The sequence below is a fragment of the Homo sapiens genome, chromosome 17, assembly GCF_000001405.40.
Source record: "Homo sapiens chromosome 17, GRCh38.p14 Primary Assembly".
In the NCBI taxonomy this organism is placed as follows: Eukaryota; Metazoa; Chordata; class Mammalia; order Primates; family Hominidae; genus Homo; species Homo sapiens.
This window is the reverse complement of record NC_000017.11, coordinates 80,525,058-80,551,051: the sequence shown is the minus strand read 5'-3', so window position 1 is coordinate 80,551,051 and position 25,994 is coordinate 80,525,058. Positions and strand designations below refer to the sequence as shown.

The window sequence follows — 25,994 nt, the reverse complement described above, 5'->3', positions numbered from 1 at the left end:
GCCGGGCATGGTGTCATGCACTGGTAGTCCCAGCTACTCGGGAGACTGAGGCACGAGAATCTCTTGAACTCGGGAGGTGGAGGTTGCAGTGAGCCGAGATCACGCCATTGCACTCCAGCCTGAGAAACAAGGAGAGACTCCATTTCAAAATAAATAAAAGATCCCTCTGACTGCTATGTGAAAAACTGGTTGTAGGGCAAGAATGGACATAGGGAGACCAGTCAGGACACAAATGCAGTGTCCAGACAAGAGACGGTGGCTGCCTGGACTGGGGCTGCATCAGTGGAGACAAAATGAAGCAGGCCAATGTAAGACATGCTTTGGAAGTAACGCTGATGGGTTCTAATGAATTGGATGGGGCGATAAAGAGAGGGAGAGGAAAGAATTAAGGATAAACTCTAAACTTACAGCTTGAACAACTGAGTGGATGGTGGTTGTGGCAAGCGGTGATGGAGAAAACTAAGAAAAAGCAGGCAGTAGGCATCTGAGACAGAAATTTCAGGCCAGATCAGAACTAAAGATTGGGGGTTTAAGCATCACTGGCATGTAGACACTATTTAAAATCATGGGCCCCGATGAGATCTGCTAGGGAGGGGCACACCCAGAACAGAGAATGGGGTCCAAGATCAATTCCTGGGGTGCCCCTGCATTTAGGTGTCAGGTAGCAAAGGAGTCTGAGAAGGAACAACTAGTGACCTAAGAGGAAAATCCGAGTTTCGTGGAGACACAGAAGCAAGTGAGGAAAGAGCTTTATGAAGAGGCCATGGTCCACATTGTGGAATGCTGCTGAGAGGTGAAATAAGAACAGAGAAGGACAGAGAAGAGAACTTTAGATTTAGCAACAAACTGGGGCCATATGGAGACCAGTCTCAGGGGAGTGGAACAGGGCACAGTTGGAATGTGGAGAGGACGCAAGGTGAGGAAAGCAGAGGGGGTAGTGTAGATTATGAAGGATTGCTATTACCCTTGCTGAAAAGACCGCATAAACCTTTGGCAGTCCATGTATTAGTTGAACAGATCTACTCTGCTTCCTCCATGACCTGGGCAAAGTATGGCTACAGAGCAATGCAACTGAGTCTAGAGAATGGTTTACAAAATAGCCTTCTTCATCTAACCGTTTCATCCCCTACACATGTAGACATAGGATGCCTGTCAGTGGTCCTACACATGCATGGAAATAGTGTCTGACAATGACACCACACATGTGTACACAGAATGTGTCTGCCAGGGGTGCTACATGCATGTAGACAGAGTGTCTGTCAGTCTACATGTGTGTAGACATAGCATGTCTGTCAACACTTTCAGAGCAATAGCTCTCAAGCACCCGTCATTCCATCCCACATATTCCAGGCAAAAGAGTCATCTGAGACCAGTTATCCCCACTGTCCACTTTCCAGTAGGAAAATGAACTCTGTGATAACTATAAAGTATCACAGTTAGACCAGGCACGGTGGCTCACACCTGTAATCCCAGCACTTTGGGAGGCCGAGGCAGGTGGATCACCTGAGGTCAGGAGTTTGAGACCAGCCTGGCCAACATAGTGAAACCCCGTCTCTAATAAAAATATGAAAAAAATTGGCCAGGCATGGTGGTGGGCACCTGTAATCCCAGCTACTCGGGAGGCTGCGGCAGGAGAATCGCTTGAACCCAAGAGGCGGAGGTTGCAGTGAGCCAAAAACACAAATAGGGGAGATATATACGTATCTGTTTTAGCCAAAGGTCTGTGAATGATTCATTTTGAACTACAATTCATATATGTCTAGTTATTTGAAAATTGCAAGCTAAAAACACTATGGATACATATATGCCTCATTCACTATACATAGTAGAATTAACCAAACAACAAACTAACTTGATAATAATTTTAAAGTAACAGTAACTTAGAAATTAAAATGTGGTAAAAGTGGCATTTGAAAACCAAGACTGATTCAAAACAAAGATGGCAGGAATCCCAACTGAGAGCGGGCAAGGGCTGTAGCTCTGGAAGGATGCCAAGTGTTGGGTGGCAAAAAAAACTTCTTGGGAGTCATCAGTCAGTCAACTTTGGTAAAGATGTCAATTTGAGGAATCTGTAGCAAGGCTACTAAATAGGAGCCAGTAAGAACTAATGAATATATGTACAAAATAAAAGCGTATGGAATTGCACATTAACCACAAGAAGAAGCAAAATCTCAGCTTGCATTTAGGACAGTCAGTGGCCACCAGGAAGTAGTTGATGTAGCTCCTAGCACAGAACAACCACGCCCACACATTTCACTTTACAAACATGCTGCTCCACCAGACTGGAGGCTACGTCCAGCACAGTGGGACTGTGTGGCCTGGAGGCCTGGGTAACAGAGATTCTTACGTAGGTAACCCACTGGTCAAAAAACACCCCAGGGCCAGGTGCTGTGGCTCACACCTGTAATCCCAGCACTTTGGGAGGCTGAGGCAGGTGAACGACCCGAGGTCAGGAGTTCAGGACCAGCCTGGCCAACATGGTGAAACCCCATCTCCACTAAAAATACAAAAAAAACTAGCCAGGCGCCTGTAATCCCAGCTACTTGGGAGGCTGAGGCAGGAGAATAGCTTGATCCTGGGAGGCGGAGGTTGCAGTGAGTCAAGACCACACCACTGCACTCCAGCCTGGGCAACAAGAATGAAACTCCATCTCAAAAAAAAAAAAAAAAAAAAAAAAAAACCACCCCAGGCTGAGCGTGTTGGCTGATGCCTGTAATCCTAGCATTTTTGGAGGACAAGGCAGGAGGATTGCTTGATCCCAGGAGTTCAAGACCAGCCTGGGCAACACAGTGAGACTCCCCAACCCCAGACACACTGGCGCACACTTATAGTCTCAGCTACTGGGGAGGCTGAGGTGAGAGGATCACTCAGGCCCAGGAGGTCGAGGCTGCAGTGAGCCGTGTGATCTCACCACTGTACTCCAGCCTGGATGACAGAGCAAGACCCTGTCTCAAAAAAAAAAAAAAAAAAAAAGAAACAGAAAAACACTCCACAAATGGGGTTGTTCAGCCTGCAGTGTTGGACTACAGTGTGTTTGGTAATAAATCTGAATTAGTATGAATATTTACAATAAAAGAAAAAAAAAGTTTGCTGACTTCTCAAAGACAAAGAGAGAGGCCTGGCCATAGCCCAGTTGCCCCTTCAGTTATGGCATCAGGGAGCCCCTGTTCCCACCCTCCAGAAACTGTCACACACACTGTGCCAAATGTCAGCTGCCATTTGTCTTTATCTTTGAACCTATGCCATTATTCTTCTTAAATGTGGCCTGTTTCATTCTCTTATGCTACCATCCCCACTCAATATCATTTGAGTTTGCAACTTCTGTCCTATAGCATGTGTGATACGGTCCTTGAGGGAAGAGATGACAAGATTCCAAAGGACCTGACCTTTGGAAGAGGGAAGAGATGACAAGATTCCAAACTCCCACACACTCAACTGAAGATGTTAGCTGCTGATTTTCTCCACCGAAAAACAGATACAGCAAACTTTCTCCCCAGCTCCTTTCTAAGCAGCAATCTCAGTAGTCACTAAGAGTCACAGAACTTTTGTTTCTCTTAACAACCTGTGAAAAGCTTATTAGGGAATGTTGATCATTCACAAATTAATGTTTTAATTAAAAGGTCAAACGTATACCCATTAATCAGTTTCAAACTGTTGGAACATAGGTTTAGGACAGCAGAGAGAACCACATTTCAAAATAACAACAACAAAAAAACTGCCCTCCACAAAGAATTTTTTAAAAAGTCTTTTCATATATGTATAGCAACCACAAAAGCTTTTAACTATATAGTTACTACTAAAGATGTCCATAAGATAGAATTTATACAACCTCCCCCAATGACTAACTTATTTAACTCCTTAAAATGCTTTTGGATGAAACAAATTTTCCTAACCTTTTAGAAGTAAGCCAAGTCAGTAGCTAACTGGTTACTACTGACTGACTGACTAGAGTTACCAGAAGTTTTATTTATTTATTTATTTTTGAGACACAGTCTCACTCTGTCCCCTAGGCTGGAGTGCAATGGTGCGATTTCGGCTCACTGCAACCTCTGCCTCCCAGGTTCAAGCGATTCTCCAGCCTCAGCTTCTCGAGTAGCTGGGATTACGGGCACCTGCCACCAAGCCCAGCTAATTTTTGTATTTTTAGTACAGACAGGGTTTCACCATGTTGGCCGGGCTGGTCTCAAACTCCTGACCTCAGGTGATCCGCCTGCCTTTGGGAGGCCTGCCTTGGCCTCCCAAAGTGCTGAGATTACAGGCGTGAGCCACCGCGCCCAGCCCAGAAGTGTAATCTTATATATGTTCAACATCATATACTAAAAAACAATAATATTCCATAAACATATACATAAGCCTAGAGAAAATCAAACATTGTAACACCAACTTCCTCTTTTATACCACTGAAATGTGCAAATAAAAGCAGCCTGGAGGGAGAAAATAACTTACAAAAAGACAAATTATAAGTGTGCATAGAGGAGAAGCAGTACTACCCTTTTGCTTTTGAGGCCAGGAAATAGATGGGTGTTTTATGAAGGACAAATCCAACAAAATTCGGCTGTTTTCTTTCCTACCAGCTGCTTGTGAGTCACTCTCCACACTCCAAACACCATGCGGACACCCTAAAACCTGCACCCAAGTCTCGACGCCTCATACCCTAACTCACGATTAAAGAAATCCTGTTTCCAAGTTACAGCAACAGGACACTACATAAAAGGAGGAAAATCTAGCTTCAAGAGAAATTGTTTAGAAGACTAGAATGAAGTTCAGTGTAACTTTATAATAACTTTGCACTAATTTGTTACTAGTTGAACATTTTCCAGTAATCTCATTTCCTAGCATAGTATATCAGACTTCTGCACTTCACCCAGCTTGGATATTTTAAAAAGTAGACTAATCATGTGGGTATAAAGATTATATCGCACGTTGTCCTTCCTCTAAGTGTTTACAGAACTAAGTAGTATGCCAAAGAGCATGTAAATACTCGCAATGCTCTATTTTCAAATTTGCTTAACTTTTATTATCTGAATTAGAACTTAGTTGGAATTGAATTAACACTACCCAGTGAATAATGACTAACCAAAACAGCATTTTCCATTTTCAACCAAAAACTGCAGTCTGAAATGGCTTTTGCTTTCTAGTTGACTTACAACGTGTGGCTAGGGGGAAATGTCGGCGCTTTCCCAAGGACACTTTTCGGGCTGTAAACTTTCTTTGTTGGGGAAACTACCAAGTTCAAGGGGTGCCTTCAGAATCCACTTACCCGATCCTTCATCCTCCAGCTCTGAGCTAAGGATTTGGAGCCTTCAATTTTCTCACAGTGCCTCTTTTTCATAAAAGCCAAAGGTAGGTTCCAGTCTGTAAGATCAGCCTCATCTTCCTCCCCCAGGCCCAGAAGAGGCGATTGCAGCATTTCGGACTCCATCAGTGGGGGAGGGGGTGGGGGAGTCCTTGGCAGCAAGCGCTCGAGAACCTCCAGCCTTAAAAACTAGCGTGTACCAGAATTGGTGAAATAAGAAACAAAAACGGGAAATCGAAAACCAAATGGATAAAGAGTGCGGAGACCCTTACTCAGGCAAAAGTCTGAGATCCTTATCTCTAACTCTGAGCGGGAAGTGGGGAGGTGGGGGCCGCTAGGAAATGGGGCAGCCCAAGAAGCTCCGCAGACACACACCACCCCAGGTCCCAAGCCACTGGCTGCTCCTGAGGCTGTACGTTTCCAGAGGGGCTGCGAGGGGAGCTGCCAAAAGCGTAAGAGACTTCAGGCCTCACGATGACCCTGCTCTCGGCCTCCACCGCCTCAGCAGTTCCGAAGACAGGCAGGCCGCTCTTGGTGCCGGTTCGCCCACTGGGCCGACTGGGCTGAGGTCTCCGGCCAAGGGATCGGGTTCAAAGGGCCCTGGGTCTCCTCCAGCCACTCTCAGCCCTGCGGGTCCCGCACTCGTCTGAGCTGCTGCAACCAGAGCCACGACCGGCCCATCGTGCTCGCCTGCACCCGGTTCCTCAACCTCAGGTCCGCGCGGCCTGGCTGGTCCTGGCCTTCAGCCCCGAGGCTCTCTCCTGCCTGAGAACGAGTCCTGAGAAACGGGCGACACGGAACCACGGAGGAAAGGGACAATGTGGGCTTATTGGGTCATGGGAGCTTTGCCCTCTGGTTTGGAGCTACAGTGAAACTCATCTCATCAGCCCATCAAGGAGGACGCCATATTGCCAGGACCCAGAATGCACCGCGGCCTACGGCGTGGCCGACAGACCAAACCTCCTCAGAGCGGTCTCTCCCCGCCACCCAGCATGCAGCGAAGGAGAAAGAGTCCCCGACCCCGTTACCTCGGTTACCATAATTCCGTTTTCCCCAGTTAATCGCCATTTGTTCAGTAGAGGCGTGTTATTAAAGTCAATCCTACAAATGAAACTGTCGGTTTAATTTATTTTTTCAAAAACATTGTCATTATAAATGAAGTTACATGCTCCTGAAATTAAAGGAATCAACCGCCTTGTTTCTTCCAGATTTTGAAAAAGCGGCAAAAGCTTCACTGATAATATTAGAAAATATTAAAAAGCACTGATAATATTAGAAAATATAGTACTTTTTTTTTTGGAGTGTAGTGTCCTCCACAGTGTCAATCAGATTTTCTCTTTAATTTTTTCATAGAGAACCAAGTGAAAGGCCGGGCGCCGTGGCTCACGCCTGTAATCCCAGCACTTTGGGAGGCCGAAGCGGGCAGATCACGAGGTCAAGAGATCGAGACCAGCCTGGCCAACATGGTGAAACCCCGTCCCTACTAAAAATACACAAATTAGCTGGGCGTGGTGGTGCGCGCCTGTAATCCCAGCTACTCAGGAGGCTGAGGCAGGAGAATTGCTTGAACCCGGGAGGCGGAGGTTGCAGTGGGCCAAGATCGTGCCACTGCACTCCAGCCTGGGAGACAGAGCAAGACTCTTCAGATGAAGAAGGGTCTGAAGCAACAGAAGAAGAGTCTGGAGCAAGATTCGATGAAAAAAAATTTCATCTAATACAATTTTTTGTTTAATCTGTTTCGTTTTCTGAGCAGTTTATCCTTTTTAAATTTTTTTCCCACTTCTTGGTAGCAGTAGTTTATTCTTATTTTGATATAGCTTCACGTGCAGACATCTAAAACTACATGTCTGTGCGTGGAGGCAAGCCTCTTGTGTGACTCTCTTTTTCAATTCAGGAAATTTGGCTCATTTACAATGTATAGAGAACTGTGTAAGGTGGACTATAAAACCAAATGTAGGCAGGGCACCGTGGCTCACGCCTATAATCCTAGCCCTTTGGGAAGCCGAGGAGGGTGGATCACGAGTTCAGGAGTTCGAGACCAGCCTGGCCAACATGGTGAAACGCCGTCTCTAATAAAAATACAAAAATTAGCTGGGCGTGGTGGCGTGCGTCTGTAGTCTCAGCTGCTCGGGAGGCTGAGGCAGGAGAAGAGCTGGAACCTGGGAGGCAGAGGTTGCAGTGAGCCGAGATTACACCACTGCATTCCAGCCTGGGTGACAGAGTGAGATTCCATCTCAAAAATAAATAAATAAATAAATAAATAAATAAGAATAAAACGAGGCCAGGCGTGGTGGTGCACGCCTGTAATCCCAGCACTTTGGGAGGCTGAGGTGGGTGGATCATGAGGTCAGGAGTTCAAGACCATCCTGGCCAAGATGGTCTTGATCTCTCAGGATGGTTTTCCGGGGCTTAGACACATGTGGCCATCCATATCAAAATCTTGATGGCATTTGTGTTCCTTTCAAAATGAGAATGAAGAATACAATCCCAGACCTTTCTCACCCAGCACAAAGCAAGCCTTTAATAAAGGCTACAGGATTAAATCATTGTCATTCCGCACATTCGTTTGGTTATTACACCCCATGGAGCCAATTCTCCTATTGAAACTCAGGGCACCCTCTCTGTTGGCAGAGACTATCCTCACAGTTACCAGCAGAGGCTTCAGGGATGCAGGGTCTTAGGAAGACCCCGTTCTCATCTGAAGGCAACAAAATCACTCCTGTCCTCTGCCTTGTCACCTTGCTCCCCACCTCCGGTGGCTGTAGACAGCTGCATTCCAGCAGCTCTTGCAGGAAGTCACAGTTACAGAAAAGCAGCAACGCTAAACCCATTCATCCCTAACTAGCTCTGTGACCTGGGAAAGCCCACTGAATCTGTGTGAGACTCAGTTTCCTCACCTATAACGTGTGTGACCTTGGGAAATCCATTTTTCGTATCTGAAATTCTAAACGAAGGTGTCAGTGAGCACGTTGAAGTCCAAACCCACCAGGTGGTCAGAATCGCCCAGGAAACTAAAATTCAGGATGCCCAGCTTCCAACCCAGAGCCCCAGATCGGGGAGCAGGGAGACCGGGATTCAGAATCTGCATTTTTTTTTTTTTGCAGTTTTTACAGTTTTATTTAAACACAAAACATGCACATGAGCTGTCTGCTCGTTTTCTTCACTGCGCAGACTGGCATGGGGGTCAGTGACTCTGATGGCCAGCTGGGCGGCTCTTTCTGTGGTGGCTTCGCGGTTCCTGGAGGAAACACTGTGAGCGATCTCAGCGCAGTAAGAAGTGTTGTACATCAGCAGCACTTCCAGCTCCTTGACGTTGTAGACTGAACTTCCAGAAGCCAGTGGGCAGCGTGTGCTTTGTTTTTTTGTTGCTCCCATAACCAATGTTGGGCATCAAGATCTGGCCCTTGAACCTTCTACCAACCCTGTTGTCAATACCTCTGGGTTTCTGCCAGTTACGCTTAATCGTGACACATCGGTCTGACTGGTGCCGGATGAACTTCTTGGTTCTCTTTTTGATGATCTTGGGCTTCACAGGGGGTCTGAGGGCGGCCATGATGCCAAGGAGGAGATGGCTGCCCCCTCCATAGGCAGCGCCAAGGAAGAGAGCCAGAATCTGAATTCTTAAATCAGGTCGCTCTGAGGATAGTTCACAGCCAGGCAGACTTGGAGGTCTTAGACAATATTCGCTCTAAAGTCTCCTGCAGTGATTCAGTTCGGGTCCCATATTGGGCCCTTAATCAATATGTGTGGCAAATGAATGAATGCTATGAAGTAATTGTCCAGACTTCCATCTGACAAAGCAGAAAGAGACTCACCTTCTCCTCAAAACAGCAGAACAAAACACACCCTCTACTGTTTAACACATGTGACCCCGAGCCAGGGGTCCACTCGGGTCCTGGACTGAGGATGAAGACACACACACATTCTATGGTCCCCAACCTGCCACCAATTCCTGCAGATTTCAGCAAAGCCTCTGCCCTCCTCCACCCTTGGTCTCCACGTCTGTGACATCAGGAACTTGGAGAAGGCGAATTTCTAAGGATCCTTCCAGTTTGAAATTCTGTGATTCATGTAAAGACCAGAAAGGGGCTTGTGACTGCTCAGCTCTCACCCTGAAGGTTCAAGGATGGGCCTGAATCATTTTATGGCATCTTGACATTTAAAAGAAACCTCGTTCTAGTATGTCACGGATGATTCTCTTCAAGTCCCAGCCAAGCATTTGGAAGTGGCTCTAGGTTTTTGAAAGGCAGTGAGCATCTGTGAGTAATGGCAGCCTGGAAATTCAAGGGCTGACTTGTCTCACCTGGGTGATTCCATGACTGTGGCATGTGGTGGGCTGGCCACTCGGGGCTGCAGTTCCAATTTCCAATGTCTCCAGTTCTTCACAAGCAAGGACATCTATTGTCCACAGAGACTTTAAATAAGATCCTTTTTTTTTTTTTTTTTTTTTGAGACAGAGTCTTGCTCTTGTCGCCCAGGCTGGAGTGCAGTGGCGCAATCTTGGCTCGCTGCAACCTCCGCCTCCCGGGTTCAGGCGATTTTCCTGCCTCAGCCTCCCGAGTAGCTGGGATTACAGGTGCCCGCCACCACGCCTGGCTAATTTTTGTAATTTTAGTATAGACGGGGTTTCACCATGTTGGCCAGGCTGGTCTTGAACTCCTGACCTCAGGCGATCCACCCGCCTTGGCCTCCCAAAGTGCTGGGATTACAGGCATGAGCCACCGTGTCCAGCTAAAATACTTTAATCTTAAAAACAAAATGTTAGGAATCTCAGAAAACACACAAACCTGGTTTGATTCAAGCTATGAAAACGGTCATGACCAGCCTGGGCAAAATAGTGAGACCCTGTCTCTACCAAAAAAAAAAATTTAATATTTATACCTGTGGTCCCAGCTACTTGTGAGGTTGAAGCAGGAATTTGAGCCCAGGAATTTGAGGCTTCAGTGAGCTATGATTGCACCACGGCACTCCAGCCTAGTCAGTAGACCAAGATCCCATCTTAATTTTTAAAAAATGCAGAAATTAAGAAAGAAAGTGGGGGAGGGTGTTGGCAACAACCTGCTCCATGAGTCTCTTACAGTCACTTATTCAAGACTTGAACACAGAGGTGTTTGTAAGACCACATGCCACGAAAGCCTCCTGCTGGTGGTGAACGTCAGCCTGCAGATGTGGGGCTGAAGGGGCTTCCAGGCCCAGCTAGGATCCAAAAAGAGTGGAACAGACCATGCGCAGTAGCTCACACCTGTAATCCCACACTTTGGGAAGCTGAGGTGGGAGGTTTGTTTGAGCCCAAGAGTTTGAGACTAGCCTAGGCAACACCGGGAAACCCTGTCTCGACAAAAAAAAAATAATAATAATTCTTTTTTTTTGAGATGGTGTCTTGCTCTGTTGCCCAGACTGGAGTGCAGTGGCGTGATCTCAGCTCACTGCAAACTCTGCCTCCCAGGTTCAAGTGATTCTCCAGCCTCAGCCTCCAGAGTAGCTGGGATTATAGGCGCCCACCACCACGCCTAGCTAATTTTTGTATTTTTAGTAGAGACAGAGTTTTACCATGTTGCCAGGCTGGTCTTGAACTCTTGATCTCAGGTGATCCACCTGCCTCAGCCTCCCAAAGTGCTGGGATTACAGTCATGAGCCACCACACCTGGCCTCAACAACAAAAAAAATTGTTTAAATTAGCCAGTCATGGTGACATGCGTCTGTAGTACCAACCACTAGGGAGGCTGAGGTGGGAGGATGGCTTGAGCCCAGGAGTTTGAGGCTGCAGTGAGCTGAGATTGCACCACTGCACTCCAGCCTGGGCAATCGAGCAAAACTCTGTCTCAAAAAAAAAAAAAAAAAAAAAAAAAAGCAGAATAACCTGCTTGAACAGAGTGGGGCACCTTGTCCTACCATGTAAAGGTAGACCAGGTGACTCCTTCTTACCCTAAAACTTAGACTGTTCGACAAATGGAATTAAAGATACAGCAAAGTGAGCAAGAGAACAAATATAAAAACCTGAGTGTGGGGGGCAAATATGACAGAAGGCAGAAATGAATGCAGGGAGAAATGCAGGGGGTGGGGGTTGCATAAATGGCTCAGATAAATAGCCTTTACCAGGAAGAACTAAGGTGGCTGGATATTCAGTCTCCGAGCTCAGCATTGACCCACTGCAACTGACCTAATCTTTTCCCAAAACAGAAGACCATCACAGCCGAGGCATTCCATTCACAGGCAGAATGGGCTGCGTTCCATGCGGCAGCATTGCCACTTCTCTGCTAAATCAATCAAGGGCACTGAATGTGTTTTGTCATCAAGAATCAGGAGCAAGGCTGGAGGTCAGGGAACTTGAGAAAACCAGGTGCTTCGCTGAGCTGTTGTTTTCCATGCAGGGAGAACAGCCAGCTCCGGTCCTTTCCAGAAAAATCTATGCTTAACTTAAAGGAAACCAAAATAGACATGAAGAACGTCGCTTTTGTCTGAGCATCATGACTCCGTTTTTAGTAAAACCCGAGCCACTCCCCCCTGCAGGTCAGATGCTTTGTTGACAGTGAAGTGAGAAGAGGAAGGAAAAGGAGGTAACACGGCCACAGCATTGCCTTCAGCTGGGAATGTGAGGCTGCCAGGAGCCCAGCAAGGCTGTCTCCCCCTCTCCACCCGTCTAAAAATATGGTGGTATTTATGCATGTGATTTTCACCTTCTACAGCACACCTTTCTATTTTATTCATTTTTTTATATAATAAGCATGTAGATCAATTAGCAGAAACAAAGTTATTCCCATTTTTAAAAGGGTCCCTGGGTAGCATAGGGACTGTGGTGAAAAGTGCCTCTTACTGAATAAACTTCACCCACTGTCCACATTTCTTCCTTCAGAAGTGAGGATTTTTGCATAGCCCTAGCCTTAAAAAGCCAGCCAAGGAAAACACGGCAAAGACAGAGCCGAGAAGGAGATGCATCAGGGAGGGGACTGCCTGAGAGCCCAACACGGAGCTGGGACCTGCACCCCAGCCTCTCCTTCCCACCCTGGGCTGTTTTGCGAAGGGCAGTGAAGAGCCTCTCTGAGACGCCTGCCATGTGGAGCAAGACAAGGGCAAAGCAGCTGGGAGAGCAGGTGCCCAGGCCCAGTCCCCGCTGGGTGGCCTTCCAGCCTGGGCGCCCTGACCGATGAGTCCGGATGGACTTGGGGAGCCATCTGCAAGGCTTTACGGCATCAGACGCTGCTGTCTACGGCCCTACGGATTCTTTGTGGAGAAGGGATGAAGGTACAGTGTCCGTTGGAGGTCAAACATCCCATTATTGGGAGTCCCTTCCTTCCTCCCCCAGATCCTAAAGGTAGAATCACAAAGATGTGGTCTGTACCCATGGCAGATTTAAAAAGAAAAAAGGGGCCGGGTGCAGTGGCTCATGCCTGTAATCCCAGCACTTTGTGAGGCCGAGGCAGGCGGATCACCTGAGGTGGGGAGTTCGAGACCAGCCTGGCCAACATGACGAAACCCCGTCTCTATGTAAAAAACACAAAAAAATTAGCCGGGTGTGGTGGTGCATGCCTGTAATCCCAGCTGCATGGGAGGCTGGGGCATGAGAATTGCTTATATACAGGAGGTGGAGGCTGCAATGAGCTGAGATTACGCTACTGCACTCCAGCCTAAGCAACAGAGACCCTATCTCAAAAAATAATAAAAAAGAAAAAGAACCCTCCCCCTCCCCCTCCCCCGCTCCCGCTCCCTCTCCCCACGGTCTCCCTCTCCCTCTCTTTCCACGGTCTCCCTCTCATGCCGAGCCGAAGCTGGACTGTACTGCTGCCATCTCGGCTCACTGCAACCTCCCTGCCTGATTCTCCTGCCTCAGCCTGCCGAGTGCCTGCGATTGCAGGCGCGCGCTGCCACGCCTGACTGGTTTTCGTATTTTTTTGGTGGAGACGGGGTTTCGCTGTGTTGGCCAGGCTGGTCTCCAGCTCCTAACCGCGAGTGATCTGCCAGCCTCGGCCTCCCGAGGTGCCGGGATTGCAGACGGAGTCTCGTTCACTCAGTGCTCAATGGTGCCCAGGCTGCAGTGCAGTGGCGTGATCTCGGCTCGCTACAACCTCCACCTCCCAGCCGCCTGCCTTGGCCCCCCAAAGTGCCGAGACTGCAGCCTCTGCCCGGCCGCGACCCCGTCTGGGAGGTGAGGAGTCCCTCCGCCCTGCAGCCACCCCGTCTGAGAAGTGAGGAGCCCCTCCGTCGGGCAGCCACCCCGTCTGGGAAGTGAGGAGCGTCTCTGCCCGGCAGCCACCCCGTCCGGGAGGGAGGTGGGGGGTCAGCCCCCGCCCAGCCAACCGCCCCGTCCGGGAGGAGAGGGGCGCCTCTGCCCGGCCGCCCCTACTGGGAAGTGAGGAGCCCCTCTGCCCGGCCACCACCCCGTCTGGGAGGTGTACCCAACAGCTCATTGAGAACGGGCCATGATGACAATGGCGGCTTTGTGGAATAGAAAAGGGGGAAAGGTGGGGAAAAGATTGAGAAATCAGATGGTTGCCGTGTCTGTGTAGAAAGAAGTAGACATGGGAGACTTTTCATTTTGTTCTGTACTAAGAAAAATTCTTCTGCCTTGGGATCCTGTTGATCTGTGACCTTACCCCCAACCCTGTGCTCTATGAAACATGTGCTGTGTCCACTCAGGGTTAAATGGATTAAGGGCGGTGCAAGATGTGCTTTGTTAAACAGATGCTTGAAGGCAGCATGCTCCTTAAGAGTCATCACCACTCCCTAATCTCAAGTACCCAGGGACACAAACACTGCGGAAGGCCGCAGGGTCCTCTGCCTAGGAAAACCAGAGACCTTTGTTCACTTGTTTATCTGCTGACCTTCCCTCCACTATTGTCCTATGACCCTGCCAAATCCCCCTCTGCAAGAAACACCCAAGAATGATCAATAAAAAAATAAATTAATTAATTAAAAAAAAATTAGCCGGGCGTGGTGGCGGGTGCCTGTAGTCCCAGCTACTTGGGAGGCTGAGGCAGGGAAATGGCATGAACCGGGGAGGCGGAGCTTGCAGTGAGCCGAGATCGAGCCACTGCACTCCAGCCTGGGCGATGGAGTGCGACTCTGTCTCAAAAAAAAAAAAAAAAAAAAAAAAAAAAATCTCATTTCCTGAATGGATGAGGAGAACAACACAGATGGGTGAGCCACAGTGAGAGACGCTATAAGGAAGTTACTAACCAAAACCCATTCGGACAGTGTCCTGTTGACTTCTGAATGTGTCAAGGTCCAGGTAGGAAACAGATGGCCCACACAAATTGGGTAATTTGAGAATTTAATAAAAGAACTTGCATCTCCAAAAAAAAAAAAAAAAGAAAAGAAAAAGAAAAATGGGGCCGGGCGCAGTGGCTCACGCCTGTAATCCCAGCACTTTGGGAGGCCAAGGCGGGTGGATCACGAGGTCAGGAGATCGAGACCATCCTGGCTAACACGGTGAAACCCCGTCTCTACTAAAAATACAAAAAATTAGCTGGGCATGGTGGCGGGCGCCTGTAGTCCCAGCTACTCAGGAGGCTGAAGCAGGAGAATGCCGTGAACCTGGGAGGCGGAGCTTGCACTCCAGCCTGGGCGAAAGAGTAAGACTCTGTCTCAAAAAAAAAAAAAGAAAAAAAAGAAAAATGGGGTGGGGGAGGAAAGTTTATATGATTGAGACTATGTTGAGAAAATTTATTATCCAATATATAATATGCAAACTGGATGGGCACGGTGGCTCACGCCTGTAATCCCAGAACTTTGGGAGGCCAAGGTGAGCAGATCACCTGAGGTCAGGAGTTCCAGACCAGCCTGACCAATATGTTGAAACCCCGTCTCTACTAAAAATACAAAAAGTAGCCAGGCGTGGTGGCATATGCCTGTAATCCCCGCTACTCGGGAGGCTGAGACAGGAGAATCGCTTGAACCCAGGTGGCGGAGGTTGCAGTGAGCTGAGATCATGCCATTGCACTCCAGCCTGGGCAACAAGAGCGAAAACTCCGTCTCAATAATAATAATAATAATAACAATAATAATAATAATATGCAAAATGAATTTTTGTAACCCTTCATTTTAATAATCTATGAAAATACAAAGAATGTGACCAACTGTCTCTTTTTAAACTCCCCACTTGTTATTTTATGTACTATTTACATAACATCAGTGATTCTCAAGCTCTCAGCTGAACAGTAGATCCTGAGGGGACAAAGGTAGGCCAACCATTGCTTCTGCTTTTCATAGGGGAGATTAGAGAAATATGCCTGTAAGTAAAATAGGATAATCCTAACACTTAGTGAGTATTGATGGGGAGCCAAGCCTTTTTCCTGAGAATTAACACTTGTAACCCTCCTAATAACCCCTGGGAAGAGCTTGTGTTCTAGATCCATTGTATCAGCAAGGAAGTTGAGACGCACAAGGATGAAATAACTTTCTGAAGATCTCTCCACTGACCAAGTCTGGGCAAAGATTCCAAGCACAGCTGCCTGATGCTAAGCGCAGACCCTCGCAATGTGTGGCACAGTGCCCAGCATGGGGCAAGAGCACCCATTAGCCTGCAAGTGGCTGCCGGGGGCCCTCCAGCGCCTGCTTGTGCTGGGAGTCACACAGGCCTCAGTTCCAGTTTTCACTCTGTCAATTCCTTGCCCTGAGGCTCTGGGAGAGGAGCTGGACTTACCCCAGCCCCATTTCATCTGTAACATTGGGAAACTAACAGTGTCTATTTCATAAGGATGTTGTAAGTAACACTCATGAGCGGCAGAACAGTTGTGGTCAAAGGTGGACTAGACATAGCACGGTGGTCCCATCAGATTACAATGGAGCTGAAAAATTCCTATCACCTAGTGAGGCTGTAGTGGTCATAATACTGTAGCACAATCACATTTTTGTTCGCTTGTTTGTTTTTGTTTTTGTTTTGAGATGGAATTTCGCTCTTGTTGCCCAGGCTGGAGTGCAGTGGCACAATCTCAGCTTACTGCAACCTCCGCCTCCCAGGTTCATGCAGTTCTCCTGTGTCACCCTCCCGAGTAGCTAGGATTACAGGTGTGTGCCACCACACTCGGCTAATTTTTGTATTTTTAGTAGAGACAGGGTTTCTCCACGTTGGCCAGGCTGGTCTCAAACTCCTGACCTCAAGTGATCTGCCCACCTCGGCCTCCCAAAGTGCTGGGCTTACAGGCATGAGCCACCGCGCCTAGCCCACACCCGACTAATTTTGTAGTGACAGGGTTTCACCATGTTGCCCAGGCTGGTCTCGAACTCCTGAGCTCAAACAATACACCTGCCTCGGACTCCCAAAGTGCTGGGATTACAGGCGTGAGCCACCATGCTCGGCCTGTAACCTGGTTTTTAAAACGCAAAGAAAAAGACCGTAGACACGTGTAGAAATGCTGAGATGTATTTTAAAGACAGGATCTCACTCTGCCCAGACATGTGGACCAAGGGTCACAGGACCAGAAATGGGGAGGCCAGGGACCCACTGGTATTATGATCCCAGAAATACCATTTGACATTTTAAACAGCATCACGTCATACTTTGACCATTTTTATTTTAAATTTTAAAAGTAAAAAGTAATAGATGCTTGTTGGAGGAAATTGGAAAATGTTCCCAAAAATGAAGAAAATAAAAGTTAAGCAGAGGAATCAGTGTTCTGATTTTGTGAATTTCCTTTTTTCCTTTTCTTTTTGCCACGTTTTTAAAAATTATTTGACATTTAAAAAAAATTATTCTGAAACATTTTGAAAATAAAAGATCATCGGTTGGGTGCAGTGGCTCATGCCTGTAATCCCAGCATTTTGGGAGGCCGAGGCGGGCGGATCTCTTGAGGTCAGGAGTTTGAGACCAGCCTGGCCAAGATGGTGAAACCCCATCTCTACTACTATAAAAATCAGCTGGGCGTAGTGGCGCATGCCTGTAATCCCAGCTATTCAGGAGGCAGAGGCAGGAGAAGCGCTTCAACCTGGGAGGCAGAGGTTGCAGTGAGTGGAGATCGTGCCACTGCACTCCAGCCTGGGTGACAGAGTGAGACTGTCTCAAAAATAAATAAATAAATAAATAAATAAATAATGACCGGGTGCGGTGGCTCACGCCTGTAATCCCAGCACTTTGGGAGGCAGAGGCGGGCAGATCACTTGAGGTCAGGAATTCGAGACCAGCCTGGCCAACATGGTGAAACCCCGTCTCTACTAAAAATACAAAACTTAGCCAGGTGTGGTGGTGTGGGCCTGTAATCCCAGCTGCTAGAGAGACTGAGACACGGGAATTGCTTGAACCCCAGAGGCGGAGATTGCAGTGAGCCGAGATCATGCCACTGCACTCCAGCCTGGGTGACAGAGTGAGACTGTGTCTCAATCAATCAATCAATCAATAAAATTCCAGATGCCCCAGTTGCACCCATTTCATCACAATGTTAGGGGATGGCAGCCCAGAGTCAGCCTGGAATCCCAGGTGAGTCCATGCGTAGCAAACTGTGAGACCCACAGCTTCGTCCTGTATTCTCAACCATTGTGTTAATCACATACAGGGAACTTGTTTCCAGCCCACCTGGGCCCTGAAGGAGGTGGTAAGGTGTTTTCTGAAGAGTGAGGTTCAGTCAAGCCTGGGAGAACTCATCCAAGCTGTGTGGGCTCCCCCGAGCTATTGGTCAGGGCTGGGTCCAAAGCTGGGAGGGAGCTGCTCAGAGACAGCTTGTCGGGGACTGGGTTGGTCTCCTCCTAGGTGGCCAAAGGTTCTGCCTTCCCTGAGGCAGCCCTGGTTTTCACTCATTCCTCTGGCATAATTATTAATAGTGTCCTCTTACATTCTCAAAGGTGTTCTGATTTGGATGATAAAACATAGTCACCCTACCTTGTATCCACTCCCATGGGACCCTATACATTGTATTCATTGCACTAATCACTATTCTAATTAAACATTGTTTTAATGTCCCTTTGCCCCGCCAGATAGAAGCTCCACGAAGACAGGGATCATATCTGTCTCATTCTCCCTTTTACCCCCTGCAGAGAGCCAGCGCCTGGTATGCAGTGTGGGCACATAGTATTGTTTTGTTTGAGACGGAGTTTTACTCTGTTGCCCAGGCTGAAGTGCAGTGGCACGATCTTGGCTCACGGCAGCCTCTGCCTCCTGGGTTCAAGCGATTTTTGGCTAATTTTTGTATTTTTAGTAGAGATAGGTTTTCCCCATGTTGGCCAGGCTGGTCTCAAACTCCTGACCTCAAGCGATCTGCCTGCCTCTGCCTCCCAAAGGGCTGGTATTACAGGCTTGAGCCACCATGCCTGGCCCAGTATTGTCAAATGACTCCAATGAGCAGGACCCCAAGGAGCTACTGCTAGAAGCAGAAACAGGAGCAGGGAACACACATTGGCAGGGAGAGTTTGAACAGCTCAGACAGCCCAGAGTGAACACTGGCCCCAAGGCATACTGACGACTCTCTCTGTCCACAGCAATGGGATAAACCCCAGATGGAGGGAGCAGTGGGGCAGGAGGCTGATCTGGGGAGGGCCTAAAGGGACCCCTATGACATCCCAAAAGGAATGGCTGCCCAGAAATATAAAGGACAAAGACTTGGGGTCATGCTGCCCTGAATATTAAAAGAAAAGTGAGTGGCCAGGGGTGGTGGCTCATGCCTGTAATCCCAGCACTTTGGGAGGCCGAGGTGGGCAGATCACCTGAGGTCAGTAGTTCGAGACCAGCCAGACCAACATGGAGTGGAGAAACCCCGTCTTTACTAAAAATACAAAATTAGCCAGTCATGGTGGCACATGCCTGTAATCCCAGCTACTAGGGAGGCTGAGGCAGGAGAATCATTTGAACCTGGGAGGCGGAGGTTGCAGTGAGCCGAGATCGCGCCATTGCACTCTGGCCTGGGCAACAGAGCAAAACTCTGTCTCAAAAAAAAAGGAAAAAAAAAAGAAAAGTGAGTTTGTCTTGTGCCCCGGCTGCTGCCCCCAGTAAATGATGTGGAATATGGAAACATCCTGGCCTGTGAATCTTTGCTTTTCTTTATCTCTGATTTTTCCTTGTATTAGCCAAGCTGTGCTAAGTACTGGAACAGTAACTCCCCAGCATCAATAGAAGGCCATTTTTCACACATACAGTAGTTCAGTAGGTGTTAGGGGGTAACCTTGGGGGCACAGACCCCCGAACGGGAGCACAAGGTTTCCATTGGCCGGGTCTGGCGTTTATGTCACTTCTGGCCACATTCTATTGGCCAGAACTCGATCACATGGCCATAGCTAACTGCAGAGGACACTGGGAAATATAGTCTGACTATGTGGAAATAAAAATAAATGTGGAAAATAATGAGCTACAATATTTCTTCCTAGAAGTGAAAGTAAAAGCCCAAAAAGAGTGTATTAGTTTGTAACCCGGCACGGTGGCTCACACCTATAATCCTAGCACTTTGGAAGGCCCAGGCGAGTGGATCGCCTGAGGTAAGGAGTTCAAGACCAGCCTGGCCAACATGGTGAAACCCTGTCTCTACTAAAAATACAAAAATTAGCCGTACGTAGTGGTGGGAGCCTGTAGTCCCAGCTACTGGGAGGCTGAGGGAGAAGAATCACTTGAACCCGGGAGGCAGAGGTTGCAGTGAGCTGAGATCGTGCCACTGCACTCCAGCCTGGGCAAAAGAGCAAGACTCCGTCTCAAAAAACATAAAAATAGAGTGTCTTAGTTTGCTAGGGCTGCTGTAACAAAGTACCACAAACTGGGTAGCTTAAAGCAACAAGTGTATTGCTCCACGGTTCTGGAGGCCAGAATTCCAACATCAAGATGTCAGCATGGTTCTGCTGCCTCCAGGCTCCCAGGAAGAATCTGTTCGTGCCCCTCTCTCAGCTTCAAGGTGTCCTTAGCAACCTCCTACATGCCTCAGCTTGCGGCTGCATCCCTCCTACCTCTGGCACCATCCTAACAGGGCCTTCCATCTCCCTATGTGTCTCTCCTCTCATAAAGACAGCAGACGGCTGGGTGCAGTGGCTCACACCTGTAATCCCAGCACTTTGGGAGGCCGAAGCAGGCGGATCACTCGAGTTCAGGAGTTTGAGACCAACCTGGCCAACAGGGTGAAACCCTGTCTCTACTGGAAAAAAAAAAATACAAAAATTAGCCAGATGTGCACCTGTAATCCCAGCTACTTGGGAGGCTGAGGCAGGAGAATCACTTGAACCCAGGAGATGGAGGTTGCAGTGAGCTGAGATCGCCCCACTGCCCTCCAACCTAGGCAACAGAGCGAGACTCTGTCTCAGAAAAAATAAATAAATAAAATAAAGACAGCAGACATACCATCTTAACTTTAATTACATCTGCAAAGACCCTATTTCCAAATAAAGTCAAATTCACAGGCACCAGGGTTAGGACTTGGAACTGGATTTCTGGGGGACACAATTCAGCTCATAGCAAATCAAGGTGGGGAACTTATTCTTTTTTGAAACAGAGTCTCACTCTGTCATCCAGGCTGGAGTGCAGTGGCACAATCATGGCTCACTGCAGCCTCTGCCTCCCAGGCTCAAAGGATCCTCCCACCTCAGCCTCCTGAGCATCTGGGACCACAGGCATGCACCACCACATCCAGCAAATATTTTTTGTATTTTTTGTAGGGACAGGGTTTCCCCATGTTGCCCAGGCTGGGCTCAAATGATACTGCCACTGTGGACTTCCAAAGTGCTGGGATTACAGGCGTGAGCCACCATGCCTGGCTGTGAACTTTTTACAGATTCCTGAGACACTCCTACATTCCTTCCGAAAAGATCATTCCAGTTTGCAAACGAACCGGCATGAGGACACCGTGTCGTCCCACCTTCCCCAAACTGACTAGCCATGTTTTGGTTTTCCTCCTTAGCTTTATTTATTTTTTATTTTATTTTATATTTTATTTTATTGAGTCAAGGTCTCACTCTGTAACCCACACTGCAGGACAGTGGCATGATCGCGGCTCACTGCAACTTTCAACTCCTGAGCTCAAGCAATCGTCCCTCCTCTGCCTCCCACGGTGCTGGGATTCCAGGCCTGAACCACCACACCCAGCCTTCCTTAGCTTTATTATCTTGATTTTTGCAAATCTGATAAGTGAGCAGTGGTGTCTCATTTTTGACTGGAAAGTTTAAACAGTGCTTGGGAATCGCATCGCCGGTTACAGCTGAAGGATGATGCCCAGGCAGGACGAAGCGTTTGTCGGGCAATGAGCAGCCGTCGCAGGATGCAACCCAAGCAGGGAGTTAGGAACATTTCACTGGCTGTAGTTTGATGCCTGGGTCCTAGCTCTCTTCTGGCAGAAGACAAATATCAGAAGGCAAAGAGGACAAAATGTTCCGTTTGTCCATCTAAAATGCATGTTTCTAGCAAGGAGGCCTGGATGGCCCTCTGCAGACAGCCCAGCTGCCGCGGTCCATCTTGTCTGGTTTGCTTGTCACAGCGGCAGCTTCGGTCTGATGGCTGCAGAGGAGGAAGGCGGCAGCTGACGCTCAGAATAAGCCATCTCCAGTGCAGCTCCATGAGGCTGGCGGAGGGGGGCGGGCAGGGAGGGGGGGCCGTCACTCACAGAACACTCTGTACTCACCCAGGAGCCCCCACCCCTGGGAAGGTGGCCACCTTATGATATGTGATCTGTTCCAGGCAGAGTCTCTGTCAGCCAGGGAAACGTTTGTAAACATAATTTGTGTTCTCCATTTTTGTTATAGTTTGGGTCCTTATTTCCCCCCCATAACTCACTATTTTCCTCCCATATTTTTCCTTCTGGAGGTTTCAATCAGAGAGACATGTCCAGAGTGTCCTGGAAAGTCTGGAAAGTCCTTGCCTTCCCTCGGAATGTGCTCTCTCATGGCAGCAAACGTCGGCAGGGAGTGCAGCTTGCAATTTCTGAGTTTATGTTTACGATCCTTATTTTTATTACCTTTGAGTGAAAGTGATTGCTATGGTTATCTCCTTCTTGGATATATATATTTTCCTTTCATTTATTTTCAGGATGGTTTGAATTTTTATGCATCTTCCATCCCATGCTCCCAAAAGAGGTGGGAAGAGCAGCCGGGAGGACCGGGGAGCCCCTCCTCTTCCCGCCTCACAGCAGACGGCATCTCTCAGAGCATCCCCCAATCAAGGGACAGTCTCCCTCCTCTGCTCCTGGGGAGTGAGCAAATAATCCCCTCCACCTCCACACTCCCGAGTAAGCCTGAGGGGCCTTCCAGGGAGCTTCGGAGAACCCCACCTATAACCCAATCAGGGAGGTTGGTAGAATGAAACCGAAAAGGAAGGAAAAAAGCATGTACCTGCCAAGCTGGTTTCCGCTGGGTTAAAGGCCTCTGTGAAGGCATCATTTACCTAAAATCATCCAACATTGACACTGTCACCAAGGTGGCAGTCCCTGAATCTTGGGCCCGAGTCTCCTGCTCAAGAGGGTCACCTGTGACTCCCTCCTCTCTCAGGCCTTCCAATACAGCCACAGCCACCCATATAATTGCCCCCAAGTGCTTGGCTAGGTCTCAATAGTGACAGGGTGCAGCTGGAAGATCGACGTCTCAGGAGCTGATTTACTTCTCGAAGAACCGAGTTGGACCTTACCACCACTCATTTTGGCCCTGACCCCATCCTGTCTTTGGGCCTGTGGAGCAGAGTGGTCAAGCCATTCCTACTGCAGGGCAGCTGGAGTGGGGCCTTTAGAATGAATCTGAGCCAGATTCCAGCAAAGTTCAACACACTCAAGCTCTGCACCCTCAGGTAAGTCACTACCCTTTCTCTCTGAGCCTCAGTTTTCTCAACTGTAGAATGGGGAAAAGATTACCCATATGTTGATTTATTTTTGTTGTTGTTGTTTTTTGAGATGGAGTCTCACTCTGTCGCAGTGGCATGATCTTGGCTCACTACAACCTCTGCCTCCTGGGTTCAAGCTATTCTCCTGCCTCAGCCTCCCGAGTAGCTGCGATTACAAGTGCCTGCCACTACACCTATTTTTTTTTTTTTTTTGTATTTTTAGTAGAGACGGGGTTTTACCATGTTGGTCAGGCTGATCTCGAACTCCTGACCTCAAGTGATCCATCCACCTCGGCCTCCCAAAGTGCTGGGATTACAGGTATGAGCCACTGTGCCCAGGCAATTTGTGAGGATGTAATGATAGAGTGTATAGCGGGAACTTTGCAAAGTGGGTCTCTCAAAGCTTAAATCAGAGGAGGAACCCCAAGGGTTCGAAAACGTCCAATGACCCCATCTCATGCAGGATGATTCCAGAGTGTTTAACATCACCCCTAAGCCCTACAGGATCCGACCCTGTTACCTCCCTGACGCTGCTGAACTCCAGGCGTGCTGACCCGTGCTCTCCCTGGGCCACCCCAAGCCCGGCGCTTGCCGTTCCCAACGCCAGCAACACTTGCTTGTTCCCTCACTTCCTTGAGGTCTCTAACGTCGTCACTCAGAGAAGTTTTCTATGGCTGCTCCCAAAAGAGCCCCCTCAGCCTCTCTCTGTGCCCTCCCCCTGTCTGATCTCTCTCCACTGCGCCGCCACCGCCCATCATAGCCCAGCCATTGTTTATCGTCTGCTTCTCCTCCGCAGGAGAGGCCAGTGAGAGCGAGGTCTGCCTGGGCCTGCTACGGCCCTGGTGCCCATCAGAGTCAATGCTCAGGGATGAATCAGTGGAGGGGAATGAATTTGCTGGATGAATCAGTGAAGGGGAATCATGTGGCCGACACACCTAGAGGATCCCCACAAAGTGAAGAAGCCTCCAGAGAAGGCTGAGCCCAGGCATTTGGGAGGCACGTGTCCCTCACACAGGATCAAGGGTCCACAAGCAAGACATGGCCTCTGTCCTGAGGGGAGAAGGATGATGGGCCGTCAACCACCGTGCACTGCAACAGGGCTAAGGGCCCAGGATGGGACACTGCATCCAAATTAGGCGGTTGGGAAGGCTTCGTGGGGAAGCAACATTTTTCCTCCATTATCCACATTCGAGAAAGAAGGCACCGTTTGCACTGAGCCCTGAGGTGGGAAAGAGAGGCCCCTGGAGGATGCAGAAGTGCAGGTGACTGCCTGGCGGGGGGCAGGGGCTGAGGTGCAGTCAGAGAGTCAATGGGCTGAGCAGGTGCGGGGGGGGAAGTGACAGAGCCGACTAAGCCGAGTGACCAGGCCCCGGGGAGCTTCCCGGCCACTTCTCTGGTGCATGACAATGAGATTGGGCGTGCCAGGGGCAAGGAGACCTCGGGGTTGGCTCCAACTCAGAGCAGAGAAGGACAGAGGCAGTGCGCCACCATCTTCCTCGCCCCCATCTGCACCTTCCACTGTTGCCAACGGCAGCCTGGGAATCTGCAGAGGTAATCCAGGTAAATTGTAATAGTGGCCCAAACCTGGGCATGAGGGGGGAAGGGCAGAGAGGGAGGGATCTGGAACTATTTGGGAAACAGATGATAAGGACTCAGAGGCTGACTGGCTGCAGACGGGGAAGGGGGGACCTTGGAGAGCAGTCCCGTATTCCCGACTCATCCGGGCCCAGGGCAGGAGGGCCACGGGGTGTCTGAGCTGTGAGCTGGAGCCAGGCTCTGGGGGAACTCCCACCCCTGCCTCTCTGCGCTCCTGGCCACGCACAGGCGCCGTTGTTGGATTTGGGAACGGTGGGAGATACAGCTGAAGGAAATGTGGGGCCGGATGACAAAACGTGGCAGAGCTTGACGGGGTGATTCTTTAAGACGGCAGCTTGGGTGTGTCCAAGGAAGCACCTGGCACAGTCACTGGCTCTCCTCTGGCAGAGGGACTTCAGGGCAGGTGATATAAAACCAAGTTGGCCAATGGGGAGAGATGAGGACCTTCCCTGACGACCACCTGCATCTCAAGCTTGTGGGAAGCCACTTGGAGAAATAAGGCTGCACAAATGTAATTTGGAGCTGGGACTGGAGTGCCTGTGGGTACAAGTGGGGCAGGGTGGGGGGCTTTGGGCAACTGCTGTTGGGTGAGTTTTGATGGTTGAGTGACATGCATGTGAGATGGCCATGGTGACCTCTGCACAGTCATAGCTACTTACATAGCCGGCACCACTGCCATGGTTTGCATGATGGTGTCCCCTCAAAAATTCATATGTTGACATTTACTCACCATTGTAATGGGATTAAGAGGTGACACCGTAAGAGGTGATGAGGTCACGAGGGTGGAGACTTCACGGATGGAATTAGGGTCCCTATCAAAGGGCCAGAGGGAGTGGGTCCACCATGTGAGGCCTCAGCATTCGCCCCCTCCCAAAGATGTAGCCACTAGACCATGTTGGAAGAGAACACGGGCCTTTGCCAGGGGGGCTGGGAGTCCGAAATCCGGGGCTCAGCAGGTTCGCTGTCTGGAGAGGGTCCAGCCTGGCTTCCAAGATGGCACTTGGAGCACTGCCTCCTCCTGGTGGGGGGGACGCTGTGTCCTCACGTGGTGGAGGGCAGAAAGGCAAGAGGGACAAACTCCCTTCACCAAAGCTCTTTTATTAGTAGTAGTATTTTTATGGTAGGGTCTCGTTCTGTTTCCCAGGCTGGAGTGCAGTGGTACAATCACAGCTCACCATGGCCTTGACCTCCTGTACTCAAGTGATCCTCCCGCCTCAGCCTCCCAAATAGCTGGGACTAAAGTCATGTGACACCACTCCCAGTTTTTTTTTTTTTAGAGGCAGGGTCTCACTATGTTGCCCAGGCTGGTCTTGAACTCTTGGGCTCAAGTGATCCACTCACCTCGGCCTCCCATAGTACTGGATTGCAGGCGTGAGCCACTGTATCCAGCCTCAAAGCCCT

General features: G+C 49.1%; 1 protein-coding gene and 1 pseudogene across 2 annotated transcripts in view, besides 7 other annotated features; both read right to left on the bottom strand.

Moving 5' to 3' along the window:
- The window catches only part of RPTOR (regulatory associated protein of MTOR complex 1), a 421,531-nt gene extending 415,317 nt beyond the window's left edge, over positions 1 to 6,214 (bottom strand). For both annotated transcript variants that reach the window (NM_020761.3, NM_001163034.2), the window contains exon 1: positions 5,261 to 6,214. In NM_020761.3, coding sequence (NP_065812.1) covers positions 5,261 to 5,422 — 162 coding nt within the window. In that variant the 5' untranslated portion in view covers positions 5,423 to 6,214. The remainder of the gene's footprint in view (positions 1 to 5,260) is intronic.
- Positions 4,867 to 5,693: an enhancer, noted in NCBI's record as "NANOG-H3K27ac-H3K4me1 hESC enhancer chr17:78519159-78519985 (GRCh37/hg19 assembly coordinates)". NCBI's record gives its function as "activates a minimal SCP1, AML or CMV promoter by ChIP-STARR-seq in naive H9 embryonic stem cells {active_cell/tissue: H9 hESC(naive)}" and the evidence as "EXISTENCE:reporter gene assay evidence [ECO:0000049][PMID:30033119]".
- Positions 4,867 to 5,720: a biological region, named in NCBI's record as "NANOG-H3K27ac-H3K4me1 hESC enhancer GRCh37_chr17:78519159-78519985".
- Positions 5,621 to 5,720: an enhancer, noted in NCBI's record as "active region_12938". NCBI's record gives its function as "activates an Ori minimal core promoter by ATAC-STARR-seq in GM12878 lymphoblastoid cells {active_cell/tissue: GM12878}" and the evidence as "EXISTENCE:reporter gene assay evidence [ECO:0000049][PMID:35858748]".
- Positions 5,694 to 6,520: an enhancer, noted in NCBI's record as "NANOG-H3K27ac-H3K4me1 hESC enhancer chr17:78518332-78519158 (GRCh37/hg19 assembly coordinates)". NCBI's record gives its function as "activates a minimal SCP1, AML or CMV promoter by ChIP-STARR-seq in naive H9 embryonic stem cells {active_cell/tissue: H9 hESC(naive)}" and the evidence as "EXISTENCE:reporter gene assay evidence [ECO:0000049][PMID:30033119]".
- Positions 6,001 to 6,360: an enhancer, noted in NCBI's record as "active region_12937". NCBI's record gives its function as "activates an Ori minimal core promoter by ATAC-STARR-seq in GM12878 lymphoblastoid cells {active_cell/tissue: GM12878}" and the evidence as "EXISTENCE:reporter gene assay evidence [ECO:0000049][PMID:35858748]".
- On the bottom strand, positions 8,397 to 8,902 carry RPL32P31 (ribosomal protein L32 pseudogene 31; annotated as a pseudogene).
- Positions 14,595 to 15,222: an enhancer, noted in NCBI's record as "H3K27ac hESC enhancer chr17:78509630-78510257 (GRCh37/hg19 assembly coordinates)". NCBI's record gives its function as "activates a minimal SCP1, AML or CMV promoter by ChIP-STARR-seq in primed H9 embryonic stem cells {active_cell/tissue: H9 hESC(primed)}" and the evidence as "EXISTENCE:reporter gene assay evidence [ECO:0000049][PMID:30033119]".
- Positions 23,339 to 24,312: an enhancer, noted in NCBI's record as "H3K4me1 hESC enhancer chr17:78500540-78501513 (GRCh37/hg19 assembly coordinates)". NCBI's record gives its function as "activates a minimal SCP1, AML or CMV promoter by ChIP-STARR-seq in primed H9 embryonic stem cells {active_cell/tissue: H9 hESC(primed)}" and the evidence as "EXISTENCE:reporter gene assay evidence [ECO:0000049][PMID:30033119]".